Below are 27,636 nucleotides of genomic sequence, written 5' to 3' on the forward strand. Positions count from 1 at the left end.
AGTAGCAATTTTGAGTGATTTAGAATATCAAGTTGGTATGATTTTTAATCATTAAAGGAGATGTAAAAACATATTTTATACACAATCTTTTATCTTACACTTATTTTTATATTTCTCTATAACAATTTATTGCGACACATATATCACCATTACATCAGACATTTATGGCTCCATTAAAATTCAATGCTATCATAAATTTGGGCCGGTTAAAGTGGTGACATTTGTAACAGCTTCCACAAGGACGTATTTTATATTTAAAGTGAAACTTTGAGTAGAAACTTTCGTTAAAGAAATAAAAAACATGTAGAATAGGAAGGGGATATAAGATTTTCTTCTTTGTAAAACACTTAATGCCTACCTTAATACCTGCCGTATTATGAAGCCAGACTTTTGCTAAATACTGCATATGGTAGTTCCAGTATGTAGGGATGAACGGGAATCATGATAATGCTATCATTGACTAGAAATACTCCTCTCTTCTCAGTCTTTTGGCACCCTGAGACCTGGGAGAATTTTAGAAATAAGAGAAAATAATAAATCAGATTTTTAAAAAATGCTATATCCATATAATGAGAGGTTTTCTGATTCTGGAGCATAAGGATTTTCAGAGTGATAGTATATGGAACTTACATTTTTCCATCATTTGGTTCAAGATGGGAAATTTGGGCATATCCGTCCTTCCCTTCCTTCCTCCAGTCCTTCCTCCTTTCCTTCCTCCCTTCCTTCCTTCCTCCCTTCCTTCCTTCCTCCCTTCCTTCTTTCCTTTCTTCCTCCCTCCCTCCCTTCCTGCCTCCCTCCCTTCCTCCCTCCCTCCCTTCCTCCCTTCCTTCCTCTCCTAACTTTCCTTCCTTCCTTCCTCTCCTTCCTCTCCTTCTCCAAACCATCAGAAGGTGTTAGAACAACTTTTGTGAGCCCAGTGCTTTTATAGCGGATTTAAAATGTAAAAGTGGGGCTGCTATATTCTTACTTCTGAAGGAGGCTTCTACACTGGGAAGCTGTCAAAGGAGAGAAACAAGCCCGATCACTTCTCTTGCATCCTCCGGTGCCATAAGAACGTCTGGCACATAGTAGATATCCACCAGTAGCCTCATCAAAGCTCTTGGTCAAGCTACTCATATAGAAAGCTTTAGGCAATTAATGCTCAACTAGGCATAACAGAGTACTGGCCCAGCTGTGCAGGACAGAATGGGTATCATATATGACTTAAAGAAAGCGAAGTGAGTGAGGACCTTGTTTACGTCTAGATAGCGTTTATGGAAGAAGGAGGCTTCAAATTAGTATTAGTCCAGAAATGGGACTAAAGGTAAGCTAGCCTGAAAGAACCAATGGGGGCTAAGAGCTAGCTTGAAGAACTTCATTTGGGCCGAGAGATGGATCTGGTCAGGTGTTGGGATAAAGTGTAGGTGAGTCTACACAGCACCATGGTGTGTATCACAGCAGGGACAACAGACACTGAACGTGTGCTGGGTCAGGCAGGAGGCATGCTATTTTGCATTAACAATAGAGATAGCAAAGGATTAACTCCGCTTACTATTAGCCTGTTTTTTTTTCTCCAAGTGCTTTTCTCAAATGGACTGATTTTAATTCTCACAATCACACTAACGGTGAGTATTCTGTATTGTGATTGGAAAGAACGAAAAAGGAGAGGAGATATATGGGTTACAGGTACATTTTCTATTTCTCTTTGTATGTCTCTGTGAATCTGAACAAATAGAAGGCAGAACACTACTCACATCCCAGGGGTAAATTTAATTGGGGGACTGGGTGGGCACCTTCTGTTTTCTGAGTTATACTGGCTGATGCTGCTAATTGTGGGCTGAAATCAAATGTCATTACAGGAAGTGTCAGCTAGAATCAGACATATCAGAGTTCTCTTAAACCAAATGAGACCTTTGCAGAGCATGTCCCGTGGAAGGAGGAGTCTTACATTCCCATAAAGGAACATAGTACCTACAAGCTGTGCCGTTCAATATGGGAGCCATTGGCTACATGTAGTCACTCAGCACGTAAAACTGACTGGTGCCACATATTAAAATGATCATTTTTTGCATGTTGTGTTAAGTAAAACCTATCTTTAAAAGTAATTTTCCTGTTTGCTTGTTTTAATGTGGCTACTGGGAAATTAAAAAATCACACATGATTTTCATTATATTTCTTTTTTGTTTATTACGCTAAGATCACTTAAAACGAGATCTGCCTTGTAACAAATTTTATTTTTGTACACATAAGGCCTTGCTGTGTTGCCCTGGCTTGTCTGAAACTCCTGGCCCTAAGTAATCCTCCCACCTCACCCTCCCAAAGTGCTGGGATTATAGGCATGAGCCACTGCACCCAGCCTTGCAATGAATTTTTAGGCACATAACACGGTATTGTTAATGATAGGCATGATGTCATACGGAAGGTCTCAAGAACTTATTCATCTTGATAACAGAAACTTTCTATGCTGACAGCATCTATGTAGGTTGTTTGCATCCTTTCCCTTCAAAGGACCTATCTTACGGAAATAGAGAAAGACTCCTGGAGAGCTCCTTCTTCATCATGTCACCAAGGTCTGGGCTGGGAAGTGCTTTCATATAAATTTTCAACTACAGCTCCCAGGCTACCATGCCCTGAAAAGAATCATTCACAGCTCCTTGTCTTTGCTTGTGCTATGTTCCCCATCTGGAGCTCCTTCCTCTTATCTTCCACCTCACTCATCTGGCATGCTCCTGAAACCCCTACTCAAACATTCTCTGTTTCTTGTAGCTGCCCTTGAATGAATTGCTCTGTCTTCTGGGTTCCCGCAGCACCTTGAACCCGTTTCCTTTGCTGTCGCTCTGACTGCCTTGTGTTTTAATTATTTATCTATTTCCATAGCTGCTCATGGAATCCCTTGAAATCAGGGACAAAGTAACTTTAGATTCTTCTTAGGCAGAATCCTTCTTTTCCGCTTCCAAATAGAAGGGCACCCCCCATCGATGCTGGACCTGGTTCATATGGCATCATCGGTCATTGTGTCTCTTCTTTCCAACTCCACCTTCAGTGGCTTTGCACTGATGACTTGAAATTGGAGTATTTACAACACAGACATTGGCACACAATGTAAATCAGGGCTTTTTGTGAGGAGTGGGGAAGGGAGAGCAAGTTGTTAAATATTTACCATCTCACCCGATCTGAAATTAAATGAAATAAAAGGCTTTTGCCACCTGAATCAGCCTTGGAAAATGGTGGTCATTTTCTTGTGATTAAGTGACGTGATTGTGAAGAAATTGTGCTTTCTTTTTCTTTTTTGAGACAGAGTTTTGCTCTGTCGCCCAGGCTGGAGTGCAGTGGTGCGATCTCAGCTCACTGCAACTTCTGCCTCCCGGGTTCAAACAATTCTCCTGCCTCACCGCTCTCTCTCCGACCGCCCAAAGTAGCGGGGATTACAGGCATGCACTGCCACGCCTGGCTAATTTTTGTATTTTTTTTTATTATACTTTTAGTTCTAGGCTACATGTGCACAACGTGCAGGTTTGTTACATATGTATACGTGTGCCCTGTTGGTGTGCTGTACCCATTAACTTGTCATTTACATTAGGTATATCTCCCAGTGCTATCCCTCCCCCTTCCCCCACCTCATGACAGGCCCCGGTGTGTGATGTTCCCCTTCTGTGTCCAAGTGTTCTCATTGTTCAATTCCCACCTATAAGTGAGAACATGCAGTGTTTGGTTTTTTGTCCTTTGCGATAGTTTGCTGAGAATGATGGTTTCCAGCTTCATCCATGTCTCTACAAAGGACATGAACTCATCCTTTTTTATGGCTGCATAGTATCCCATGGTGTATATGTGCCACAATTTCTTAATCCGGTCTATCATTGATGGACATTTGGGTTGGTTCCAAGTCTTTACTATTGTGAATAGTGCCGCAATAAACATATGTGTGCATGTGTCTTTATAGCAGCATGATTTACAATCCTTTCAGTATATACCCAGTGATGGGATTGCTGGGTCAAATGATATTTCTAGTTCTAGATCCTTGAGGAATCGCCTTACTGTCTTCCACAATGGTTGAACTAGTTTACAGTCCCACCAGCAGTGTAAAAGTGTTCCTATTTCTCCACATCCTGTCCAGCACCTGTTGTTTCCTGACTTTTTAATGATCGCCATTGTAACTGGTGTGAGATGGTATCTCATTGTGGTTTGATTTGCATTTCTCTGATGGCCAGTGATGATGAGCATTTTTTCATGTGTCTTTTGGCTGCATAAATGTCTTCTTTTGAGAAGTGTCTGTTCATATCCTTCACCCACTTTTTGATGGGGTTGTTTTTTTCTTGTAAATTTGTTTGAGTTCATTGTAGATTCTGGATATTACCCCTTTGGCAGATGAGTAGATTGCAAAAATTTTCTCCCATTCTGTAGGTTGCCTATTGACTCTGATGGTAGTTTCTTTTGCTGTGCAGAAGCTCTTTAGTTTAATTAGATCCCATTTGTCAATTTTGGCTTTTGTTGCCATTGGTTTTGGTGTTTTACACATGAAGTCCTTGCCCATGCCTGTGTCCTGAATGGTAATGCCTAGGTTTTCTTGTAGGGTTTCTATAGTTTTAGGTCTAACATTTAAGTCTTGAATCCATCTTGAATTAATTTTTGTATAAGGTGTAAAGAAGGGATCCAGTTTCAGCTTTCTCTATATGGCTAGCCAGTTTTCCCAGCACCATTTATTAAATAGGGAATCCTTCCCCCATTTCTTGTTTTTGTCAGGTTTGTCAAAGATCAGATGGTTGTAGATGTGTGGTATTATTTCCAAGGGCTGTGTTCTGTTCCATTGGTCTATATCTCTGTTTTTGTACCAGTACCATGCTGTTTTGGTTACTGTAGCCTTGTAGTATAGTTTGCAGTCAGGTAGCATGATGCTTCCAGCTTTGTTCTTTTGGTTTAGGATTGTCTTGGCAATGCGGGCTCTTTTTTGGTTCCATATGAACTTTAAAGTAGTTTTTTCCAATTCTGTGAAGAAAGTCATTGGTAGCTTGATGGGGATGGCATTGAATCTATAAATTACCTTGGGCAGTATGGCCATCTTCACGATATTGGTTCTTCCTATCCATGAGCATGGAATGTTCTTCTATTTGTTTGTGTCCTCTTTTATTTCATTGAGCAGTTGTTTGTAGTTCTCCTTGAAGAGGTCCTTCACATCCCTTGTAAGTTGGATTCCTAGATATTTTATTCTCTTTGAAGCAATTGTGAATGGGAGTTCACTCATGATTTGGCTCTCTGTTTGTCTGCTACTGGTGTATAAGAATGCTTGTGATTTTTGCACATTGATTTTGTATCCTGAGACTTTGCTGAAGTTACTCATCAACTTAAGGAGATTTTGGGCTGAGATGGTGGGGTTTTCTAAATATACAATCATGTCCTGTGCAAACAGGGACAATTTGACTTCCTCTTTTCCTAATTGAATACCCTTTATTTCCTTCTCCTGCCTAATTGCCCTGGCCAGAACTTCCAACACTATGTTGAATAGGAGTGGTGAGAGAGGGCATCCCTGTCTTGTGTCAGTTTTCAAAGGGAATGCTTCTAGGATGGGAATGCATCCCATTAATACCTAATTTATTGAGAGTTTTTAGCATGAATGGCTGTTGAATTTTGTCCAAGGCCTTTTCTGCATCTATTGAGATAATCATGTGGTTTTGGTGTTTGGTTCTGTTAAAATGCTGGATTACATTTATTGATTTGCATATGTTGAACCAGCCTTGCATCCCAGGGTTGAAGCCCACTTGATCATGGTGGATAAGCTTTGTGATGTGCTGCTGGATTCAGTTTGCCAGTATTTTATTGAGGATTTTTACATCAATGTTCATCAGGGATATTGGTCTGAAATTCTCTGTTTTTGTTGTGTCTCTGCCAGGCTTTGGTATCAGGATGACGCTGGCCTCATAAAATGAGTTAGGGAGGATTCCCTCTTTTTCTGTTGATTGGACTAGTTTCGGAAGGAATGGTACCAGCTCCTTCTTGTACCTCTGGTAGAATTCGGCTGTGAATCTGTCTGATGCTAGAGTTTTTTTGGTTGGTAGGCTATTATTGCCCCAATTTGAGAGCCTGTGATTCGTCTGTTCAGGGATTCAACTTATACCTGGTTTAGTCTTGGGAGGGTGTATGTGTTGAGGAATTTTCCATTTCTTCTAGATTTTCTAGTTTTTTTGCGTAGAGGTGTTTATACTATTCTTTGATGGTAGTATTTCTGTGGGATTCGTGGTGATATCCGCTTTATCATTATTTATTGTGTCTATTTGATTCTTCCCTCTTTACTTCTTTATTAGTCTTGCTAGTGGTCTATCAATTTTGTTGATCTTTCAGAAAACCAGCTCCTGGATTCCTTGATTTTTTGAAGGGTTTTTTGTGTCTCTGTTTCCTTCAGTTCTGCTCTGATCTTAGTTATTTCTTGCCTTCTGCTAGCTTTTGAATGTGTTTGCTCTTGCTTCTTTAGTTCTTTTAATTGTGATGTTAGGGTGTCAATTTTAGATCTTTCCTGCTTTCTGTTGTGGGCATTTAGTGCTATAAATTTCCCTCTACACACTGCTTTAAATGTGTCCCAGATATTCTGGTATGTTGTGTCTTTGTTCTCATTGGTTTCAAAGAACATCTTTATTTCTGCCTTCATTTCGTTATGTACCCAGTAGTCTTTCAGGAGCAGGTTGTTCAGTTTCGATGTAGTTGAGTGGTTTTGAGTGAGTTTCTTAATCCTGAGTTCTAGTTTGATTGCACTGTGGTCTGAGAGACAGTTTGTTATAATTTCTGTTCTTTTACATTTGCTGAGGAGTGCTTTACTTCCAACTATGTGGTCAATTTTGGAATAAGTGTGATGTGATGCTGAGAAGAATGTATATTCTGTTGATTTGGGGTGGAGAGTTCTGTAGATGTCTATTAGGTCTGCTTGGTGCAGAGCTGAGTTCAATTCCTGGATATCCTTGTTAACTTTCGTCTCGTGGATCTGTCTAATGTTGACAGTGGGGTGTTAAAGTCTCCCATTATTATTGTGTGGGAGTCTAAGTCTCTTTGTAGGTCTCTAAGGACTTTCTTTATGAATGTGGGTGCTGTATTGGGTGCATATATATTTAGGATAGTTAGCTCTTCTTGTTGAATTGATCCCTTTACCATTATATAATGGCCTTCTTTGTCTCTTTTGATCTTTGTTGGTTTAAAGTCTGTTTTATCCGAGACTAGGACCGCAACCCCTGCCTTTTTTGTTTTCCATTTGCTTGGTAGATCTTCCTCCATCCCTTTATTTTGAGCCTATGTGTGTCTCTGCACATGAGATGGGTTTCCTGAATACAGCACACTGATGGGTCTTGACTCTTTATCCAATTTGCCAGTCTGTGTCTTTTAATTGGAGCATTTAGCCCATTGACATTTAAGGTTAATATTGTTATGTGTGAATTTGTTCCTGTCATTATGATGTTAGCTGGTTATTTTGCTCGTTAATTGATGCAGTTTCTTCTTAGCCTTGATGGTCTTTACAATTTGGCATGTTTTTGCAGTGGCTGGTATCGGTTGTTCTTTTCCATGTTGAGTGCTTCCTTCAGGAGCTCTTTTAGGGCAGGCCTGGTGGTGACAAAATCTCTCAGGATTTGCTTGTCTGTAAAGGATTTTATTTCTCTTTCACTTATGAAGCTTAGTTTTGCTGGATATGAAGTTCTGGGTTGAAAATTCTTTAAGAATGTTGAATATTGCCCCCACCCCCTTTTGGTTTGTAGAGTTTCTGCCGAGAGATCTGCTGTTAGTCTAATAGGCTTCCCTTTGTGTGTAACCCGACCTTTCTCTCTGGCTGCCCTTAACATTTTTTCCTTCATTTCAACTTCGGTGAATCTGACAATTTATTTGTCTTGGAGTTGCTCTTCTCGAGGAGTATCTTTGTGGCATTCTCTGTATTTCCTGAATTTGAATGTTGGCCTGCCATGCTAGGTTGGGGAAGTTCTCCTGGATAATATCCTGCAGAGTGTTTTCCAACTTGGTGCCATTCTCCCTGTCACTTTCAGGTACACCAATCAGATGTAGATTTGGTCTTTTCACATAGTCCCATATTTCTTGGAGGCTTTGTTCGTTTCTTTTTACTCTTTTTTCTCTAAACTTCTCTTCTCGCTTCATTTCATTCATTTGATCTTCAATCACTGATACCCTTTCTTCCAGTTGATCGAATCGGCTGCTGAAGCTTATGCATTCGTCACGTAGTTCTTGTGCCATGGTTTTCAGTTCCATCAGGTCATTTAAGGACTTCTCTACACTGGTTATTCTAGTTAGGCATTTATCTAATCTTTTTTCAAGGTTTTTAGCTTCTTTGCGATGGGTTCGAACTTCCTCCGTTAGTTCAGAGAAGTTTGATCGTCTGAAGCCTTCTTCTCTCAACTCGTCGAAGTCATTCTCCGTCTAGCTTTTTTCCATTGCTGGTGAGGAGCTGCGTTCCTTTAGAGGGGGAGAGGTACTCTGATTTTTAGAATTTTCAGCTTTTCTGCTCTGTTTTTTCCCCATCTTTGTGGTTTTATGTACCTTTGGTCTTTTATGATGGTGATGTACAGATGCGGTTTTGGTGTGGATGTCCTTTCTGTTTGTTAGTTTTCCTTCTAACAGTCAAGACCCTCAGCTGCAGGTCTGTTGGAGTTTGCTGGAGGTCCATTCCAGACCCTGTTTGCCTGGGTATCAGCAGCAGAGGCTGCAGAACAGCGAATATTTCTGAACAGCAAATGTTGCTGCCCGATCATTCCTTTGGAAGCTTCGTCTCAGAGGGGCACCCGACTGCATGAGATGTCAGTCTGCCCCTACTGTGGGGGTGCCTCCCAGTTAGGCTACTCGGGGGTCAGGAACGTACTTGAGGAGGCAGACTGTCCATTCTCAGATGTCAAACTCCATGCTGGGAGAACTAGTACTCTCTTCAAAGCTGTCAGACAGGGACATTTAAGTCTGCAGAGGTTTCTGCTACCTTTTGTTTGGCTATGCCGTGCCCCCAGAGGTGGAGTCTACAGAGGCAGGCAGGCCTCCTTGAGCTGTGGTGGGCTCCACACAGTTGGAGCTTCCCATCTGCTTTGTTTACCTACTCAAGCCTCAGCAATGGCAGGCGCCCCTCCCCCAGCCTCGCTGCCGTCTTGCAGTTCGATCTCAGACGGCTGTGCTAGCAATGAGTGAGGCTTTGTGGGCGTGGGACCCTCTGAGCCAGGCATGGGATGTAACCTCCTGGTGTGCCGTTTGCTGACTGTTGGAAAAGTGCAGTATTAGGGTGGGAGTGACCCAATTTTCCAGGTGCCGTCTGCCACAGCTTCCCTTGGCTAGGAAAGGGAATTCCCTGACACCTTGCACTTCCCAGGTTAGTCGATGCCTCGCCCTGCTTCGGCTCACGCATGGTGGGCTGCATCCACTGTCCTGTCCCCACTGTCTGACAAGCCCCAGTGAGATGAACCCGGTACTGGGAAATTCAGAAATTACCTGTCTTCTGCGTTGCTCACGCTGGGAGCTGTAGACTGGAGCTGTTCCTATTCGGCAATCTTGGAACCCACCAATTTTTGTATTTTTAGTAGAGAGGTGGGTTTCACCATGTTGACTGGGCTGGTCTCAAACTTCTGACCTGAAGAGATCTGCCCACCTCGGCCTCCTAAAGTGCTGGGATTACAGGCATGAGCCATCGTGCCTTGCCAAGAAATTCTGCTTTCTGTTCAATCCAGACAGTTTGAGGAGCTCTCCCCGAAGGCTGTAATTTTAGGCTCTGGTGGAGAGATGATGGATTAGACTAGGTGATTATGAAGTTTCTTCTCAGCTCTAAACTTCACTGATTCTGGGCATTATGCATTTCACTCATGAGTAATTAACATTTGTAGTGCCCTACATTTGTGCATCCCTTATCTTTCTTTTTCTCTCGGGGAGCTTTCATACTGATTACGTCTCTTGACATCTCTGTGAAGCAAGTGGGCGGATACCGTCTCCACCCAATAGAGAAGTTAATACATCCACTGTAGACTTCTGCTTAAAATCAGATAGATTTGCACATAATTGTTTTTGGTCTCAAATAGTTAGATGATGTGGCTGCTGGATGAAGGTGAATCTGGAGGATGAACTCTAGGAATCAGAGAGGGCAAGGAAGCCACCTAAAGTCACACAGATACTGGAGAGCAGAACCGCATCAGTCTCAGGACTACTCTAAAGGTGAGGAGCATTTGGAAGTGGTAGTGGTCCAGGAGAATGGAAAAATACTGTTAGCTGTAGAATATCCACTATTGCAATTAAGTAAGAGAACTGACTCCAAATTGAGATGGTTTAGTGTTTACTCCAAACCTCAACTATATTAAACCCATTTTAATGGTTTTTTATTCCTTATTGGTGGGAAAGTAAATTAGTTCAACCATTGTGGAAGACAGTGTGGCAGTTCCCCAAAGACCTAAAAACAGAAATACCATTTGACCCAGCAATCCCATTCCTGGGTATATACCCAAAGGAATATAAATCGTTCTATTATAAAGATACATGCATGTGTATGTTCATTGTACACTATTCACAATAGCAAAGACATGGAGTAAATCTAAATTCCCATAATGGCAGATTGGATAGAGAAAATGTATGCATATACCATGCAATACTATCCAGCCATAAAAAAAAGAACGAGATCATGTCCTTTGCAGGAAAATGAATGGCACTGGAGGCTATTGTCCTCAGCAAACTGGTGTAGGAACAGAAAACCACATACTGCATGTTCTTACTTAGAAGTGGTAGCTGAATGATGAGAACACAGGGACACATAGAGGGGAGAAATACACACTGGGACCTTTTAGAGGTCACGGATTGGAGGGTGGGAGGAGAGAGAGGATCAGGAAAAACAACTAATAGATACTAGGCTTCATACCTGGGTGATGAAATAGTCTGTACAGGAAACCCCCATGACACAAGCTTACCAATATAACAAACCTGCACATGTATCCTTTAACTTAAATGAGACATTTTGCTCCAAACATTCACTATTGAAACAATCAACTATTAAAAGGGCTCCCCCTTGTTTTTGCCACCCACCTAGCTGTTTCACGCTGTTTACTGTGATACTGTGCTTTCCAGAAAATAAATTGCTTCATGGGCCATAGGATCTTATTTTCTCCCTTCAGAGAGAATGGCACCCCAAATTGAAGATAAACAGTCATTTTACAAAGGTTTCAGAAAAGGATGGTAACTCTTTGAATGACCCATAATAAGAGAACCCTCTTAGGAGGTGAGGGCGTATAAGCAGTTGGGATTTCATGAAATGGCTGAGTAATTTTGCCAAGCCTGGAGATAGGACTTCATACTCACTCCTCTACTTTGAATTTCTGCAACTTTGAGGCATATGTTGAGTTTCAAACTAGATCAAAAGAAATAAATTCAGAGAGAAAGAAAATTCACCCAGAACATTGTACAAAAAAAGAGTGCCCAGCACTTTGGGAGGCTGAGGCAAGAGGATCGCTTGAGCCTAGGAGTTCAAGACCAGCCTGCTCTTGAACATAGTGAGACCTCATCACTCCAAGAAATAAACCGTATTTTAAAAATTAGCCAGATGTGTGGCTACACTTGTAGTCCCAGCTGCTTGGGAGGCTGAGGTGGGAGGATTGCTTTAACCTAGGAGGTTGAGACTGCAGTGAGCTGTGATCACACCACTGCACTCCAGCATGGGCAGCAGAACAAAACCTTGTCTTAAAAAAAAAAAAGTGAAAATGCTTGTGTGTGTATGAGTGGGCACTAAACTTCAATAATGGTCCTTTTTGATGTAGCTAAGTCCTCATAATGCACTCATTAAAACTCTAGAAATAAAGATTTTAGTGCCATTACATAGAACACTTAAAAAAATCCTCATAGGTATAAATTGTCTATGAATTTTACACTATGTGCCCTGATTAGTGGTTATTATTTTACTGCTTATACTCAAAAAAATTTAGAATATACTTGTGTAGAATTTTGGCTGCGTTTTTCACTTGAAAAAGAGTTACAACTCCGTTTCCATATGGTAGACAGAGGAATCCCTCTAAATATGCGGCAACGGAGTTGCTTCTGTTTCTAAGAGCTGTCTATAGGACCTCTCCTCCAGTGGTGTGCTGCAGCCAGCTTGTATTGGCTGGCGAGAGCCGATTGTGAAATTTTAAGGAAACCTACCAGCTGGTTGATGTCATATTGGCAGCTAGAAATTGGCCATAGAGGGAGTATTTATACCACAGAAACTGGAAAACCCTATAAACCAGTGTTTTTCTGTCCCCAGAAAGTTGGTTGTTAAGCGTTTACCAGCACAGCACTGCTCTCCCTTGTATAGGAGCCTCCCCTCTTAGCACATTCCATCTCATTTCATCCTCAGATCTACAAATAAGTAGAGAGCTGTGTTGAGGATATAGAGTTTTCATTGAAAAAAAAAAACACAAAAATCAATGATCTAAACCCTACAGAAAAGCAGGGACAATACAGGATTCTGTGTCCATCCCCCACTCCTCTCTAGGTATTTGGTAATTATCTAGCCTCTCCACGTAGCCTTTCTTTTTATTCATTTTTCTAATCTAACTCAGCCATTCTCAAATGTCAATGTGTATGTTAGTATGCATGTGTTGATAATGCAAAACTACCTGCATGACACTTTGTGGGAATATTAGGGGCTTTTGAGGGTAATTTTAGCCATGCAAGTATTTTCCTGGAGTTGGCATAATACATTTGTTAAAAGCCGGAATAGTTTTGAATCCCACCTCTGCCACATGCAAGCTACTTAACTTCTCTATGCCTCAAATGAAGGTAATAATGGTACCTTCCCTGTAAGCGTCTTGGGAGGATTAATTGTGTTAATCTATGTAACATGTTTAGGATTATACCTTGTGTTTAGTTGGTGCAATGTTCATGTTCGCTCCTATTGTTAGGAAGGAAGGGAGTGTTTTAATTGATGATTGATGTGGGGGTGGGTTGCCCCTACACACCTGTGGGTGTTTCTCGTAAGGTGGGACGAGAGATTTGGAAAAGAAAAAGACACAGAGACAAAGTATAGAGAAAGAAATAAGGGGACCCGGGGAACCAGCGTTCAGCATATGGAGGATCCCGCCAGCCTCTGAGTTCCCTTAGTATTTATTGATCATCTGTGGGTGTTTCTCGAAGAGGGGGATGTGTCAGGGTCACAAGACAATTGTGGGGAGAGGGTCAGCAGACAAACACGTGAACAAAGGTCTTGGCATCATAGACAATGTAAAGGATTAAGTGCTGTGCTTTTAGATATGCATACACATAAACATCTCAATGCTTTACAAAGCAGTATTGCTGCCCGCAGGTCCCACCTCCAGCCCTAAGGCGGTTTTTCCCTATCTCAGTAGATGGAGCATACAATCGGGTTTTATACCGAGACATTCCATTGCCCAGGGACAGGCAGGAGACAGATGCCTTCCTCTTGTCTCAACTGCAAGAGGCATTCCTTCCTCTTTTACTAATCCTCCTCAGCACAGACCCTTTACGGGTGTCGGGCTGGGGGACGGTCAGGTCTTTCCCTTCCCACGAGGCCATATTTCAGACTATCACATGGGGAGAAACCTTGGACAATACCTGGCTTTCCTAGGCAGAGGTCCCTGCGGCCTTCCGCAGTTTTTGTGTCCCTGGGTACTTGAGATTAGGGAGTGGTGATGACTCTTAAGGAGCATGCTGCCTTCAAGCATCTGTTTAACAAAGCACATCCTGCACCGCCCTTAATCCATTCAACTCTGAGTTGACACAGCACACGTTTCAGAGAGCACGGGGTTGGGGGTAAGGTTATAGATTAACAGAATCTCAAGGCAGAAGAATTTTTCTTAGTACATAACAAAATGGAGTCTCCTATGTCTACTTCTTTCTACACAGACACAGTAACAATCTGATCTCTCTTGCTTTTCCCCACAATTCTGGCAACTGAGTGAGGGACAGATTGGGTGAGGCCAAGACTGGGAGACCAGGAAGGATCCCCATTTTATTGGTTCACACTGATCTTCCTGAATCAATTGATGGCATGTGGCTGTTGAGTGTTAGGTAGACCAAAGCAGTAGCCCTAAGCTGTGACTTAAAGGGCCTTGGTTGGTCACAAAAGACGACCACTTCCCCATGGGCATCTATTTGATCAACTTCCATCTAATTACTTTTGTTTGTTTGTTTATTTTTTCTTGAGACAGTGTTTCACTCTTGTTGCCTAGGCTAGAGTACAAAGGTGCAATTTTGGCTCACTGCAGCCTCCGCCTACCAGGTTCAAGCGATTCTCCTGACTCGGCCTCCGAAGTAGCTGGGATTACAGGCATGCATCTCCATGCGCAGCTAATTTTTTGTATTTAGTAGACATGGGGTTTCACCATGTTGGTCAGGCTGGTCTCGAACTCCTGACCTCAGGTGATCCGCCTGCCTCGGCCTCCCAAAGTGCTGGAATTACAGGCGTGAGCTCTTGCACCCGGCCTCTAATTCCTTTTGGAGCTGAGGGCATAATGAAGAGAGGGAAGTAGGAGATGAAGTAAAGGAGCAGGCAGACATCACAGTTTGAAAAGACCTCAGAGGTCATGGTGAAAGTTTGGATTTCATATTTGCTGCAGTGGAAAGCCATGAGAAATTCTTAAGCAGGTGATTCTCCTGTCTCTCCCAGTGCCTTCTAAGTCAGGCACTAGGAGAGATACAAAGCTACAGGTGGTGCCTCAGGGACTTACAAACCAGAAGGTTCCATGCCTTCCCCTTTAGTGGGTATTATTTGATTTCTGTGAACCCCCTTCTTACATCTTCCACATAAGCAAAAAAAAAAAAAAAAAAAAAAAAACCCTGCACCACCTCCTGCAGTGTATGGACATATGAAATGCCGTGGGGTTGTAGTGTGGTGTGATAATTAATAGGAAAAGGGCAAGCAAACTGTAGGACTTAACCTAGCAAAACTGGAAAAGCTACAGACATGGCAGTGAGAAAAGATGGATACCGTTTTTCTTCTTGCTTAGACCTGGTTTCTTCAGGGATCACCTTTGCGGTGGAGTTTGTCACATCTCCCAAATGCCCAGGCTGGTTTCTTACCTCCTTCTCCATCCAGGCCTTGTCTCACATCCAGGGGCCAATAATAAAGATAAATTTGAGGAGTAATGAATAAAGACCCATTCCTTCTGGAGCAATAAAATTTATCGTGGCTTAACTAATCTGGCACCATTTATGCCTGCTGCCTGCCTTTCCAGCCATCGAATGACTAATTGATAACTAATTTCCTCAATTTGTACTTCATTACTTATCACAGCAGAAAGGCTTATACCTAATTCTTTGAGCCAAAGAGACCCCATGAAATCAATGGAGATGTTACTTGCCAGGGATCTTGGCAAATTGGCCAGCTTCGTGGGAAAGGTGGACTTCTCAATAATACAGCTAACAGGTACTGAGTGTTTATTGCATGCAGAAACTGGGCTAAGCACGTTACATTTGTATAAAAAATATAAGGGTTCTACAAGATGATGTAAAGGATAAAGCCCTTAACTGTATTATCTTAACACAATAGAAATTTACCAATGATTTAATGTTATTCTTAACACAATAGAAATTTACTAATGATTTAATTCAGATGTTTCTGGTTGGCAAAGGATGGGGGAGTTCTGTATTGCATTCTTCAGATTCATTGAGACCTAAAATTAAGAACCAAGTTGACTGAGACTCTGCCATCATTACTGCATAGCTGCCAAGCTTGCCCTTGGTCGATATTCAGCCAGCAGAGGGAGAAAGAGCATGAAGAGCGTGGCGGGGAAGGTTTTTTTTGTTTTGGTTTTTGTGTTTTTTTTTTTTTTTTTTGGAGATGGAGTGTCACTCTGTTGCCAGGCTGGAGTGCAGTGGTGCAATCTTGGTTCACTGCAACGCTTGCCTCCTGGGTTCAAGTGATTCTCCTGCCTCAGCCTCCCGAGTAGCTGGGGCTACATGCCCATGCCACCACACCCAGCTAATTTTTGTATTTTTAGTAGAGACGGGGTTTCACCATTTTGGCCGGGATGGTCTCGATCTCTTGACCTTGTGATCTGCCCTCCTCAGCCTCCAAAAGTGCTGGGATTACAGGCATGAGTCACCACACCCAGCCGGGTGGGAAGCTTTTAATAGGCCAGCCTAGAAGAACACATCATTTCAACTGATAGGGTGTTGGTTATAACTCAGCCACAGAGAGACCAGGAAATGTGGTGTAGACGTGACCCAGGAGGAAATGAGTTTTGTTGGACAGATTGCCACATGCTTGTGATTTTATTTAATTCTTACAACAGTGCTATGAAGTTGGTCCTCATCCCCACTTCACAGATGTGGAAAGTGAGGCTTGAAAAGGTTAAGTAGACTTGCTAGTAAGTGGAGGAGCAGATTCTTCAGCTTGTCATCTGTCTGATTTCTGGGCTCATGCTTCTACTACTGTGCTAGACTACTTCTCTTGGGTCTCAAGCAATGAGAAGCTCTGACAATAAATCTTTCCCCTTCACTACTCTCGCTGGTCATCACCACTGTAGCTGACCCTGACTCACTGTGAAGTTCTGTACTGGTCAGCCATCACCTCTGCCTGTGGCACTGAGCTTCCCAGAAAAACATCTCTGGAACTTGCAGCAACCTGGGGTTGGAAGCCTGACGGGACCCAAGTTGGGTGATACAGAATTCTGAGGCTGACCACCCATATGTGTGGGGGCACAGAGCAAATGTTAAATTGAGCCAGGAAAGACTCCACTAATTAGCGTTTCTTCTGAACTCTGCCATCCATTGGCTTTTTAACAAATGATGCTATTAATCCTACATGTTCTCGATTCTTCACTTTCTTCATGGGGGGAAAAAGTTGAAGGCGGTATTGTGGTATTTATCCTTGAAATAATGTTGCCATAGTTACCTCTCGGCTCTATTATAACAGTAGTGCCATAATTGGAGCACGGAGACCTGGAGATGCTCTTGTAACTGCGAGCTTGGTCCCTAGGTTGGGCATGAAAAGCATCTCTTAGACTGGGGGAGAAAGAAGAGAGGTTGGCCTCAGCAATTAACCCCAAAGCGCAGCACAGTGGCCCTGTCTGTTGGATGAGAGCATTGCTTGGTGGTGTCCAAAGTGAGCCATTTCTGTGAAGTTGCTTTGTTTTCACATTGTTTTACAGTGACACTCTTAGAATGCAAGAATGTAGTGTCTCCATGGAAACTGGAAAGGTACAAAATTAAGACCTCAGAATAGGAAAGCTTCTATGAGCACAGTTCTGGTGATCACTAATAAAGAAATGATGTGTTGTAAGTACAAGCTGTTGGATGTCAGGGAAGACGTGGAATGGTAAATTTGACATCCTAATCTAATCCAAGACCTTCACTTTTTGGATAGGGTGGGAGAAAGGTTATGAATGCACATCTAGGGAATGTATGCTCCCCTAGACAGGAAAAAGGTTTGTTAATGTCCCACTGTGGCAAAAGCGTGGCTGACCCTCCATGCAACATGAACTTGACTCCACTTACCTCTTGTGTATATGCGAAAGGAAATAGTTAGTGGGTTGTGAGAGGGGCAGTGTGATACATTGGGAAGACACCATTTGCAGTTAAACCATGGTGAGTTTCACGACTTTGAGCAAATTCATGAAACCTCCATTTGAACCTCCATTTCTACTTCCATAAAATGGGGAGGCTACTAGTATATACTTCTCTGAAGAACATGCTTCCTTTCTTCACTTTCCTTTTGATGTTTATTTTTGGCAGTATCAGTAGGGGTTCATTAGCCTAACTTCCTATCCACGAAGGCAAGGTTCAGTTTAGAATGTCTGAATCTGCATCATAGCCTGAGGTCTGTGTTCAGCTTACAGAAGAACCAGTGGAAACAGGAAGCCATCTCTGGGTACACATGCTGTTTGCCCATAGTGGGAATTGGTGAACTTCTTAGAGAGATGTATCTCTGTTCTGATGCTTGTATTTCCTTGGTGGATCCTCCTCCACGTCTCTCACCACCTTGTACAATTCCTGACCTCTCATTTGCCTCCTCACATCATGTGTTGACACATTGACAGAAATGCCACGCAGCTGTATCAGGGCATTCAAATGCATACACCTCTCAGGCTCACCTTCAGCCCATGCAAATTCAGAGTTTTCTTAATTTCTGTAGCTCTTTCTATTTCTGTATTTAATGGCACAGAACATGAGGTTCCTTTTGCCGCCAGTGCCAGGCATGTGCTAGATCTCCATTTGGGTAGAAGCAAAGCTCTCATGCTGATCTCCTTTCCTGTCTGAATACCTTGCAGTGTTTCCCACAAGCCTCTCGGTCTTTCTCTAAAAAGATGGCAGTTACCACTTTGGCTGGCTGGCATTTTTCTGATCTCCCTGATCCTGTAACAGTATTCCTCTCTGGGATTTTTTTTTCTTGGCATGGCAAGCACTTCTCCCTCACCAGTGCAGGGAAGCCTTTGATACTTCTTGGACATCTTGATCAAACGGCCTTAATGCTGCAACCACCTGCAGTTTTACTGTTTAAAACTTCCACATCCCCTTTTGTGCGTATTTCAACTGCACTGAAAATGTAGGTTTCTATAATCTTGTAGATGGCTATAAATATCCCCACTGGGTTAAAAAAAAAAAAAAACCTTGTATTTGAGCCTCAATATGCTGAGATGTTTTGTGATCTAGTAAATAGCAGGAAATTTTTGCTTACCTAATATTTATTGAGTAGCTGTTACATATCAAATAAAGCACCTGACTTTGTTAGGGTGACCAGGTTGTCCAGATTTGCCCGGAATGTTCCCAGTTTTATCATTGAAAGTCCCACATTCTGGAGAAACTGGAAATCTATGGTCCCAGGCAAACAGAGACAGTTGGTTGCCTTAGGCACTAGGGGTAAATTGGTAAACAAGACAAAATTTCTTCCCTCAAGGATCTGACAGTTTGATAAACCAGAAAATAAAGATAAGTACTCAGCAATTTCACACACACACACACACGTATATACATATACATACACACACACATACATATATACCCCCAAAGAATTGTAAGTAGGTATTCAATTACATGTCCATATACGTGAGTAGCAGCATTCCTCACAATAATAATGTTGTGAAAAGAACCCCATTTCCATCAACAGAGGAGAAGATAAACAAATCGTGGTGTATCCATACCACAGAACACTATTTAGCCCTAGAAAAGAAAGAAGTACTGGTATGGATGAACCTTGAAAACATGATGCTAACATTGAAGGAAGGCAGACACAAAAGGCCACATCTTGTACAATTCAATTTATATGAAATATTTATTAGGTTGGTGCAAAAGTAATTGTGGGGTTTTGCCATTATATTGAAAGTTATTTGAAAGTAATGACAAAAACCGCAGTTACTTTTGCACCAACCAAAAAGAATAGGTAAATCCAAAGAGACAAAAAGTAGGTTGGTCGTTACTGGGAGCAGAAAGGAGAGAGGAGTAGGGAGCGAGTGGGGTTTCCCTTTGGGGTGATGAAAATATTTTGGAACTAGATAAGAGAGGTGGTTGCACAACATTGTGAGTTCACTGAATGCCACTGAATTATTCACTTTAAAATGGGTAATTGTATGTTATGTAAACTTCACCTCAATGAAAAACAGATAATGTGGTAATTGATAGGATGGTGGCCAGTAGAAGGTTCTGGGGCAGGAAGGATCCAGTTGGTAAACAGTGAATGCTAATGCAAGAGTTAGGTCACAGAAAAGATGAAGGGGTAGTGTTTCAAGCAAAAGAAGAAATGCTTCTGTAGATGTGGGAGGCAGGGGAGCCCTCTCGCTGCTGTTTATTTTGTGACATGGTGATGCACATCTTGTATATTAAGGTGACTTCTGAAGAGTAATATAGAAGCAGAAAGGTGGGATCACCTTCAGAATGTGCCCCCCAACTTTTTAAAATGGTTTTCTAGCCACTCAGCTGCAAAGAGATAGATCTGGCCTTGCTGTTTGGTAGTTATTTATTTCCCAAGGAATATGTTCATAGAGTCTTTGTATTAGCTGTTCTCTTTCTGCTAATAAAGACATACCCAATACTGGATACTTTATAAAGGAAAGGGGTTCAATTGACTCAGTTCCACATGGCTTGGGAGTCCTCACAATCATGACAGAAGGCAAGGAAGAGGAAAGTCATGTCTTACATGGCAGCAGGTAGGAGAGCTTGTGTAGGGGAACTCCCCTTTATAAAACCATCAGATCTCGTGAGAACTCACTATCACAAGAACAACATGAGGGTAACTGCCCCCATGTTTGAATTACCTCTCACCGGGTCCTTTCCAGCACACATAGGAATTATGGGAGCTATAATTCAAGATGACATTTGGGTGGGGACACAGCAAACTCTATCAGGCTCTTTGGCTAAATGGGTAAAGAATAAGCTGAGATGGCACATTCTCTGGGAAGACATTCAGTGTCAGCAGGTGACTTGATGCTGGGGTGATATCCCCACTGGAGGGGCCAATCATCCTAGGTCTGGTCCTTACACAGCTTCCCCTGACCCCTATCAAAGGAAGTTTCAACCCCTCCCAGGAGGCAGGGATGGGAATGAGCTTCATGGCAGAGTTTGAATTTGGTCTCTGCCCTTTGTCACCTGCGCCTCCTTGGGCAGGTGAACTTCTCCGAGCAGCAATATCATCATCTAGAAAAGGGGAATGGAAATAAAAATGGATCTATTGTAAGAATAAATGAATTTTCCTGCAAAACCAATAGTATACACTGTCTGGCAAATAACAAGCACTCAGTAATTATTAATTTTCTCCATTCTTTCCTCTTCATCCTAGACTTAATTAAGATGTATAGTTGAAGCTGTGAATAAGCAGTTCACAAAAAGAGAAATCTAAATGGCCGGGACACTTGGAAAAATGTTCAGACTGGGTAGCAACAAAGGATTTAAAAGTGAAATAAGACATAATTTTTTCTCCTAGAAATTAAGGCAGAAAACGAACAAAAAGAAAAAAAAAAAAAACGAAGAAAGAAAACTCAAGTCAGTGTTGGCCAAGAGGGTTGGGAGTCAGACAGTCTCATACCAGGCTGGTAGAAATACAACGTGGAACAACCTTTTGTGGGGCAGTTTGGCAATAAGACTAATATGCTCGTTTCAAAAGCCTTAAATGCACGTTTGTGCTTTGACCCGGCAATTCCACTTTGGGAAATTTCCCCGCGGGGAATAATTAAGGATGTGTTCGCAAACTTAGCCGCAGAAGGCACTCTATAAATAGTTGTTAAATGAAGAAGTAAGTGGTACTCATTGCTGCATTGTTTATAATAATGAAAATTCCAATAACGGGGAAAAAAATCAAATAATGATGGTTCTGGCCATAAAATGGAATCCTTTGCAGCCATTAAATATGATTTGGTAAACACGTTTGGATAATTCTGTCATTTACATAGGTCTGGGAAGATATTTCTGATTCCTCAAGTGAAAAATTATGTTAAATGGCATATTGCATGGCTTTGGCTTGTTTAAAAATATGTATCCGTAAATAAAATTGGGAAGAAAACCTCTTGAAGGATATACAGCAATATGTGAAAAGCAGTTATTGCTGAATAGTGACACTGTGAATGATTTTTTAATTTTCTCCTTTTTGCTTTTTGGTATATTATGAGCATGTACTGTTTGCACATATCTGTTTTTAAAGAAAAACTTAATGTTAAAATAGAGGGACTTGTTAGGATAGGGGTGGGTGGTTGGAAATCAAGACAAGAAAGTAGAACATAAATGCGCCCAACACAAGAATGTGGGGCATCTGGCTGGATTAGAAGTCCATCGTGATTTGGGCAGCCTTCCTTCCCCGCTGTTGGCACTTTAAGCTTTTTCAATTGCAGATCCACACTCGGATCAGAAGGAGGCTTGGTTTGGCCTGGACCCTCCTTAGGAAGTGTCATGTCTGGGAAACACACACAAGAGCGCTCCTTTGTTCATGCTGCTCGTTGCCCAAGTTGGCTGTGCTTGGGGGTGACTCGCTCCCAGCTACAGCGATGCAAACGTGTGTCCTCGGGCTGGGCTGTGCAGACAGCCTGCGCCCATGTCTTGGAGGGAGACAGCCAGATTCTGGCTGTGAGAAAAGCCCCTGGCCCAGGAGGCTCTTGGGGATGAAGGGGGCATGTCTTTACCTTTCCTTATCCCCATATTTTCACCGAGTAAATTGCTGCGATAGAACATAATTGCTTTTCATTTTATTTTTAAAAATTGCTGCCAAGGCAATCCGCCGGCCTCCTGAAGTCAGCACAAATCTGAAAACACTCACTCCGAGGGAATATTTTGAAAACTTGGATTTGAAAAGCGATTTAGCCCCAACGATCAGCAGGTCGAGGTTCAACCGACTGTGGTAACTCGGTTGCACTTTAGCCCCAGAGATTCACAGAGCTCATCACTTCCTTTCTCATTGAAGCCTTTGCTCAAATGCTCCCTTCTGAGCTTACACTCCTCTGAATGCGCTGGCTGTCTTAAGTAGCAACTCCTTCTTTTGGGTTTCCCAGATCTCTTTTTTATTTCCAGGTATGTATCCCGCCCTGGCATTATATTATTTCTTATTTCTTTATTCACCTGTTTACTCGTCTATCTCCTATGCTAGAACACATGCACCTCAAGGGCAGGTACTTTATCCTATTCATTGCTGTACCCCCGTGGTTAGAATCACATCACACACACCGTAGGTGTCTAATAAATACTTAACTAATGAATGAATAAGAGAGAAGGCTGTGAAAGTCTTTTGCAACCAGGAAGATGCTGTGGGGCAGTAGGGTGTGGGTAGGATGATTGCATTTGGGCTACTACAACTCTCCAGCTCACAGCCAATGTCATCTGGACACCACATCATGGTTAGATGGGCTGTTCTTAAGTTATTAATAGTCCTGGAATACCAGGAATATCTATAACGGCATTCTGCCTCAATGCTGGAAGGTACCAGAGGCCTTGAGTTTTCCTTGGTGGGGAGGACAGGACTCCTTTCTTCACCAGAAGCTGAGTAGATGCCAGCACCCAGCCTCTTGTAAAGCCTGCAGAACCATGAGCCAATTAAACCCCTTTTCTTTTTATTATTCTTATTATTTATACTTTACCCCTTTTCTTTATAAATTACCCAGGCTCAGGTGTTTCTTTACAGCAATGCAAGAATGGCTTAACACAGCTTCCCTGATTTCTCTAAGATGCTAGAGAAAAGAGAGCGCAATGGATAGGGGAGGGAGAAGGGCCCATCCCTTGCATGCTGAGACCTGGTAAGGAACCCCGAGGGAAGAAAGAGGCAATTATCAGTAAACCAACCTGGACTCAGTTCCCTCACACCTGTACACTTGGATTTTGGTCAAAACATAACCTGAGCTTCAGTTCCTCCATCCTTCAAGTAAGGTGAAGAAAATCTGCCCTGCCTACCTGTCATTATAACCATCATCATTTTTTTTATCATTACAGCTTATTAAACATTTATTATTTACCAGCCACAGAAGCAGGCACTCTGTATATGGCCTTTTATTCAGTTCCTGTGATCATCCTATGAAATAAATACAATTTTGTCCATTTGAAAGAGGAGAAAGGATAAGGTAGGAAAGGCAAAGTAGTTTGCCCAAGTCTCCTTGGGCTGCAGGTGCTAGACCAAGTCTCGCAGGGTACCTGATACTGTGTTTTATGAATCAGGAAACACCATCAAATGTCACCAGTACCTTTCCAAATGTGTGCACAGGCAAGCATGTTTGCATGAAAGCATCTCTTCTAATTATTGGGAAGCCCTTGGGTGGGAGCTGGGAGACTCTTTCCAGCCTAGCTTAAGTAGGTAAACTTAAAGAATACACATATCCTCTCCAGAATGTGCTTAAATCTGATCACTGGATCCCAAACCCAACAAGAACAGGGCCAAGGATACCAGCAGCAGAGCACTCCCCCAGTCTAAGACAACACTGTGGTTTATAAAAGGTCAAGTTCAATCAACCAATTGTTTCCCAAGGGAAAAAAGTCAAATTTCAGTTTCAATACACATGTCTTTGGAGGGGAAAAAATCCCATTAAAAACTCTTACCAGCAAATGATAATTAATTCAAATCCACCTTTGACCCTTCTTTCCCAGAGTCAACCACAGTTACCATGAGAGGCGTAAAGACATTTTATGAGGGCAAGGACTTTGTCTAATTCATGGCTGAATACCTAGTGCCAGACACACAGAGAGTGCTTAATAACTACACATGAAAGAATGGCTGTCCAGCAGGTGGCTGCTATGGATTCTCTGCAAACACTGTAAGAGATATGGTACTTTTTTGCAATTCAACCGAAAATGGCAGGGTATGGACTCGCCCCAAGGGAGAAAGGACGCCTTGTGTTTTCAAAATCAGCCAGTGAAGCACCTCAGCCTGGGGTTTGAGTTTACAGCCTTTGGATATGGGCTCTGGCTTTGCTGCAAGTACAGGATGCTCATCCCTAGAGTTCCAGACACTAATGGCAAGAACAAGGATGGGAGTGTGGAAGGATTCCTAGTCTCCCGTGGAAAAGACAACCTTGGTTGTCAGTGAGGTATCTGCAGTCTCTGGTGTTCCACCACTACCCAGCTACATGGTTACTGCTGTTGCCATCTTTGTCTCTGGGGTGCTCAGGTTGATTTACAACACTGGAGAGTCAGCCCATTGGGACAGTGGGGACTAGCTTGGTAGTGTGCACGTCATGGAGCAGCCAATAGCTCAGAGTTCTGTCCTCCCGACCAAGGAATACTCAAGGTTTTTGAAACCTTCCAGCATTGAGGCTGAATGCCATCATAGATATTCATGGTATTCCAGGACTATTAGGAACTTAAGAACAGCTTGTCTAGCCATGATGTGGGGTCCAATCATGGCAGAAGGAGAAGGGGCGTCTCACATGGCCACAGGAGGAGCAAGAGAGAGAGGAGGAGGTATCATGCACTTTAAAATACAGATCTGGGCTGGGCACGGTGGCTCACGCCTGTAATCACAGCGCTTTGGGTAGCTGAGGTGGGTGGATTACAAGGTCAGGAGATCAAGACCATCCTGGCCAACATGACGAAACCTCGTCTCTACTAAAATGCAAAAAATTAGCTGGGTGTGGTGGCACATGCCTGTAGTACCAGCTACTTGGGAGGCTGAGGCAGGGGAATTGCTTGAATCCGGGAGGCAGAGGTTGCAGTGAGCCGAGATCACATCACTGTACTCCAGCCCGGGCAACAGTGCGAGACTCTGTCTCAAGAAACAAACAAACAAACAAAATGAAAAACAGATCTCTTGACAGCTTACTCACTACCATGAGGACAGCACCAAGACATGAGGGATCCCCCCCCAGGACCCAAACATCTACCACCTGGCCCCACCTCCAATGTTGGGGACCAGATGTCAACATGAGATTTGGGTGGGGACAAACATCCAAACTGTATCAGAAGCTAAGGCTACCCACCCTGCTTCTGCCCTCAAGGCCCTCTGCTCTCTATCCCTCCCCACCAAATCCCACTTTATTTCCCTTAGCCTTTCACTGAGGAGTCACTGTTTGCAAAGTCCTCTCATTTTTAAACCTCTACTTATAGTTCAGTACGTGCTACTTCTTGCAAATAATGAGCTCTTTACATTTAGTTCCCATCACCTTATTTCAGGGTTTTCTGTATCTGTTAGTTTGCTTCTGGGTGTTGTGGTTTTCACTTTGTAGGAACTGATGTCTCAGTCAGTTGTATAAGGTTAGTCCCACCCTTTAAGACAGAAACCGTGTTTGCACACCCAAAGTGTTCCCTCCAGAGCCCCTACCTAGGGCCGGGCATTCAGTCCCAATCACAGGTTAAGGGTGAGGGATAGCTTGGTAGAAATACCACAGAAGTAATAAAGAATCTACAAGACAGCATCTCCTCTTGTCTTCTTTTGGCCTGTGTTATTTTCCTGACTTCAGGGAGATGAGGCGGAGAGCTGCTCATGGTTGAAGGAAGGAAACGTTTCTCTTGGTCCATCTAGGTCAAGATGGGATGCTGCCCAGAGGACCTCCACAGAAATTCATTAACTGAGAGAAACCACGCTATGGGAGTGAAGGTTGGTAGCTGAATTGCCCATTCAGCTGGGGAGAGGTGGGTGAATACCTGAAGGTAATGTGGATAGAAAGGCATGAAGCATGTGTGTATGGGTTCAGAGCCCCTGTGCAGACATCACACTGGAATAGACCTGTCCCTACGAACCCTGCGTGAGTTTCCAAGCTCACACACATCTCCAGCTTCCTGCTTTTGTCACACGCCTTCCAAGGACACAACGGGATTTGCCAGGACATTCTTGATGTCTTCCCCTTGGTATTTATAGGGTGGCTTTCCAATGGACTCCTGAAAAGGCATAAATGAAGCTTTGTTGACAGGGGAATCCTGTTTGCTGTAATTAGATATTTAAAGACCCTCATTAGTTGCCTTTGCTGGGCCTAATACTCAGCAGTACCAAAATGAGGGGCTCTCGACTTTGGCCACCTCCTCCCCCTCACTCAGCATAATTCTTTGAGGATTCCTATTTGTATGTCTTCACAGCCCTTTAGTCTCATGACCATACTCTTCACTTAGTGAAGTCCCATTACTTTCTCTCTGCAGACAAAAAAAATGTATATATTTTTCAGTTAAAAAATGTTAAGAAACAGTCGGGCCACCCATCAGAATGAATGTATAGCTCACCCAGCTATGCAATTATCCAAAAATAACCCATTTCTATTTCCAAGAGTAGACTGCATTTAAATAAGCATTCTCTTCAAATAAACTTTCATTAAGTCAGATTTCTCTATAGTCTGCAAGCTTAATGAATGCATGTGTGGCCGCGTGAGATATATAGGATTTACCTCCATGCCTAGTTTTTGGAGCATGAGAGAAGCTGATCCATAATGAGATACGTGAACCCATTTTGGTAGAGGCACCGTTGATTTAACAAAGGAAGCGCTGAAATGTGCATCAAATGGGGGCCGCTAAGATAACTGAGCTTCTGAGGAAAAGGCTGCTGAAATGTTAGAGTCCTACGGCTGTTTTTTTCTTTTGCATATTATTAGAAAGTCTGGTTTCAACATGACCTCACTGTTTAGACCCCCTTAAAATACTTGTTTCCCCACCTTCCACGTGGCCCTGTCAGGAAGGGGTACGTGGCAGACAGGGAATAGCTACAGGTGCAAAATGCAGAATACCATTTTTCCAGTGTTTTCGGCCCACATGACATACCAGCGTGGATCCTGTTTGAAAGCTACCAGGTGGTAGCATTTATTTTGGCTGAAACTCTGCATCATAGCCAAAATCTGCTCTTCTGTGCATTCCTCTTGCATCTATTCCACTCTGCCTGCTGGGGAGGAAGCGGATGATTCTGAGCCCAGCCCACGTAGGTGCTGTTGAAACAGGAGGTCAGGCCAGCCTTTGCTGCTTCTGGGGTGCTTTAGTAGCAAATGGCTTCTGTTGTGTCCAAATGGAGTCCCCTCCACGGAACATGGGTATGAGATGCCCAGAGAAGATGCTCGACTACACGGACCATCACTGTTTTTTGTTTGTTTGTTTGTTTGTTTTCCCCCTGTAACCCATTGTATTTAAGTGGTTTAGATTATCAGATGAAAAAAAAATAGGAAATCCAGGCAGTGGGATAGAGAAGAAGTCAAATGGGGCTGCCTGGAGCACCATTAGTGAGTGTCAAACAATTTTGTCAGCAGAAAGCCTTGTTATAAAGCCTATAAACTACCAACAGGTCAAAAAGAAAAAAAAAAGAGTCAATTAAATATTGATATATAGGATATGGAAGAGAGGTGAGTGACTGCATTT

General features: G+C 42.7%; 1 protein-coding gene across 4 annotated transcripts in view, besides 3 other annotated features; it reads left to right on the forward strand.

Moving 5' to 3' along the window:
- RBFOX1 (RNA binding fox-1 homolog 1) overlaps window positions 1-27,636 on the forward strand; it is a 2,473,620-nt gene that overhangs the window by 501,785 nt on the left and 1,944,199 nt on the right. The window lies entirely within an intron of this gene.
- Window positions 8,703-9,204: an enhancer, noted in NCBI's record as "H3K4me1 hESC enhancer chr16:5800209-5800710 (GRCh37/hg19 assembly coordinates)". NCBI's record gives its function as "activates a minimal SCP1, AML or CMV promoter by ChIP-STARR-seq in naive H9 embryonic stem cells {active_cell/tissue: H9 hESC(naive)}" and the evidence as "EXISTENCE:reporter gene assay evidence [ECO:0000049][PMID:30033119]".
- Window positions 9,205-9,704: an enhancer, noted in NCBI's record as "H3K4me1 hESC enhancer chr16:5800711-5801210 (GRCh37/hg19 assembly coordinates)". NCBI's record gives its function as "activates a minimal SCP1, AML or CMV promoter by ChIP-STARR-seq in naive H9 embryonic stem cells {active_cell/tissue: H9 hESC(naive)}" and the evidence as "EXISTENCE:reporter gene assay evidence [ECO:0000049][PMID:30033119]".
- Window positions 12,966-13,952: an enhancer, noted in NCBI's record as "OCT4-NANOG-H3K27ac hESC enhancer chr16:5804472-5805458 (GRCh37/hg19 assembly coordinates)". NCBI's record gives its function as "activates a minimal SCP1, AML or CMV promoter by ChIP-STARR-seq in naive H9 embryonic stem cells {active_cell/tissue: H9 hESC(naive)}" and the evidence as "EXISTENCE:reporter gene assay evidence [ECO:0000049][PMID:30033119]".

Source organism: Homo sapiens, chromosome 16, assembly GCF_000001405.40.
Source record: "Homo sapiens chromosome 16, GRCh38.p14 Primary Assembly".
NCBI classification, from domain to species: Eukaryota; Metazoa; Chordata; class Mammalia; order Primates; family Hominidae; genus Homo; species Homo sapiens.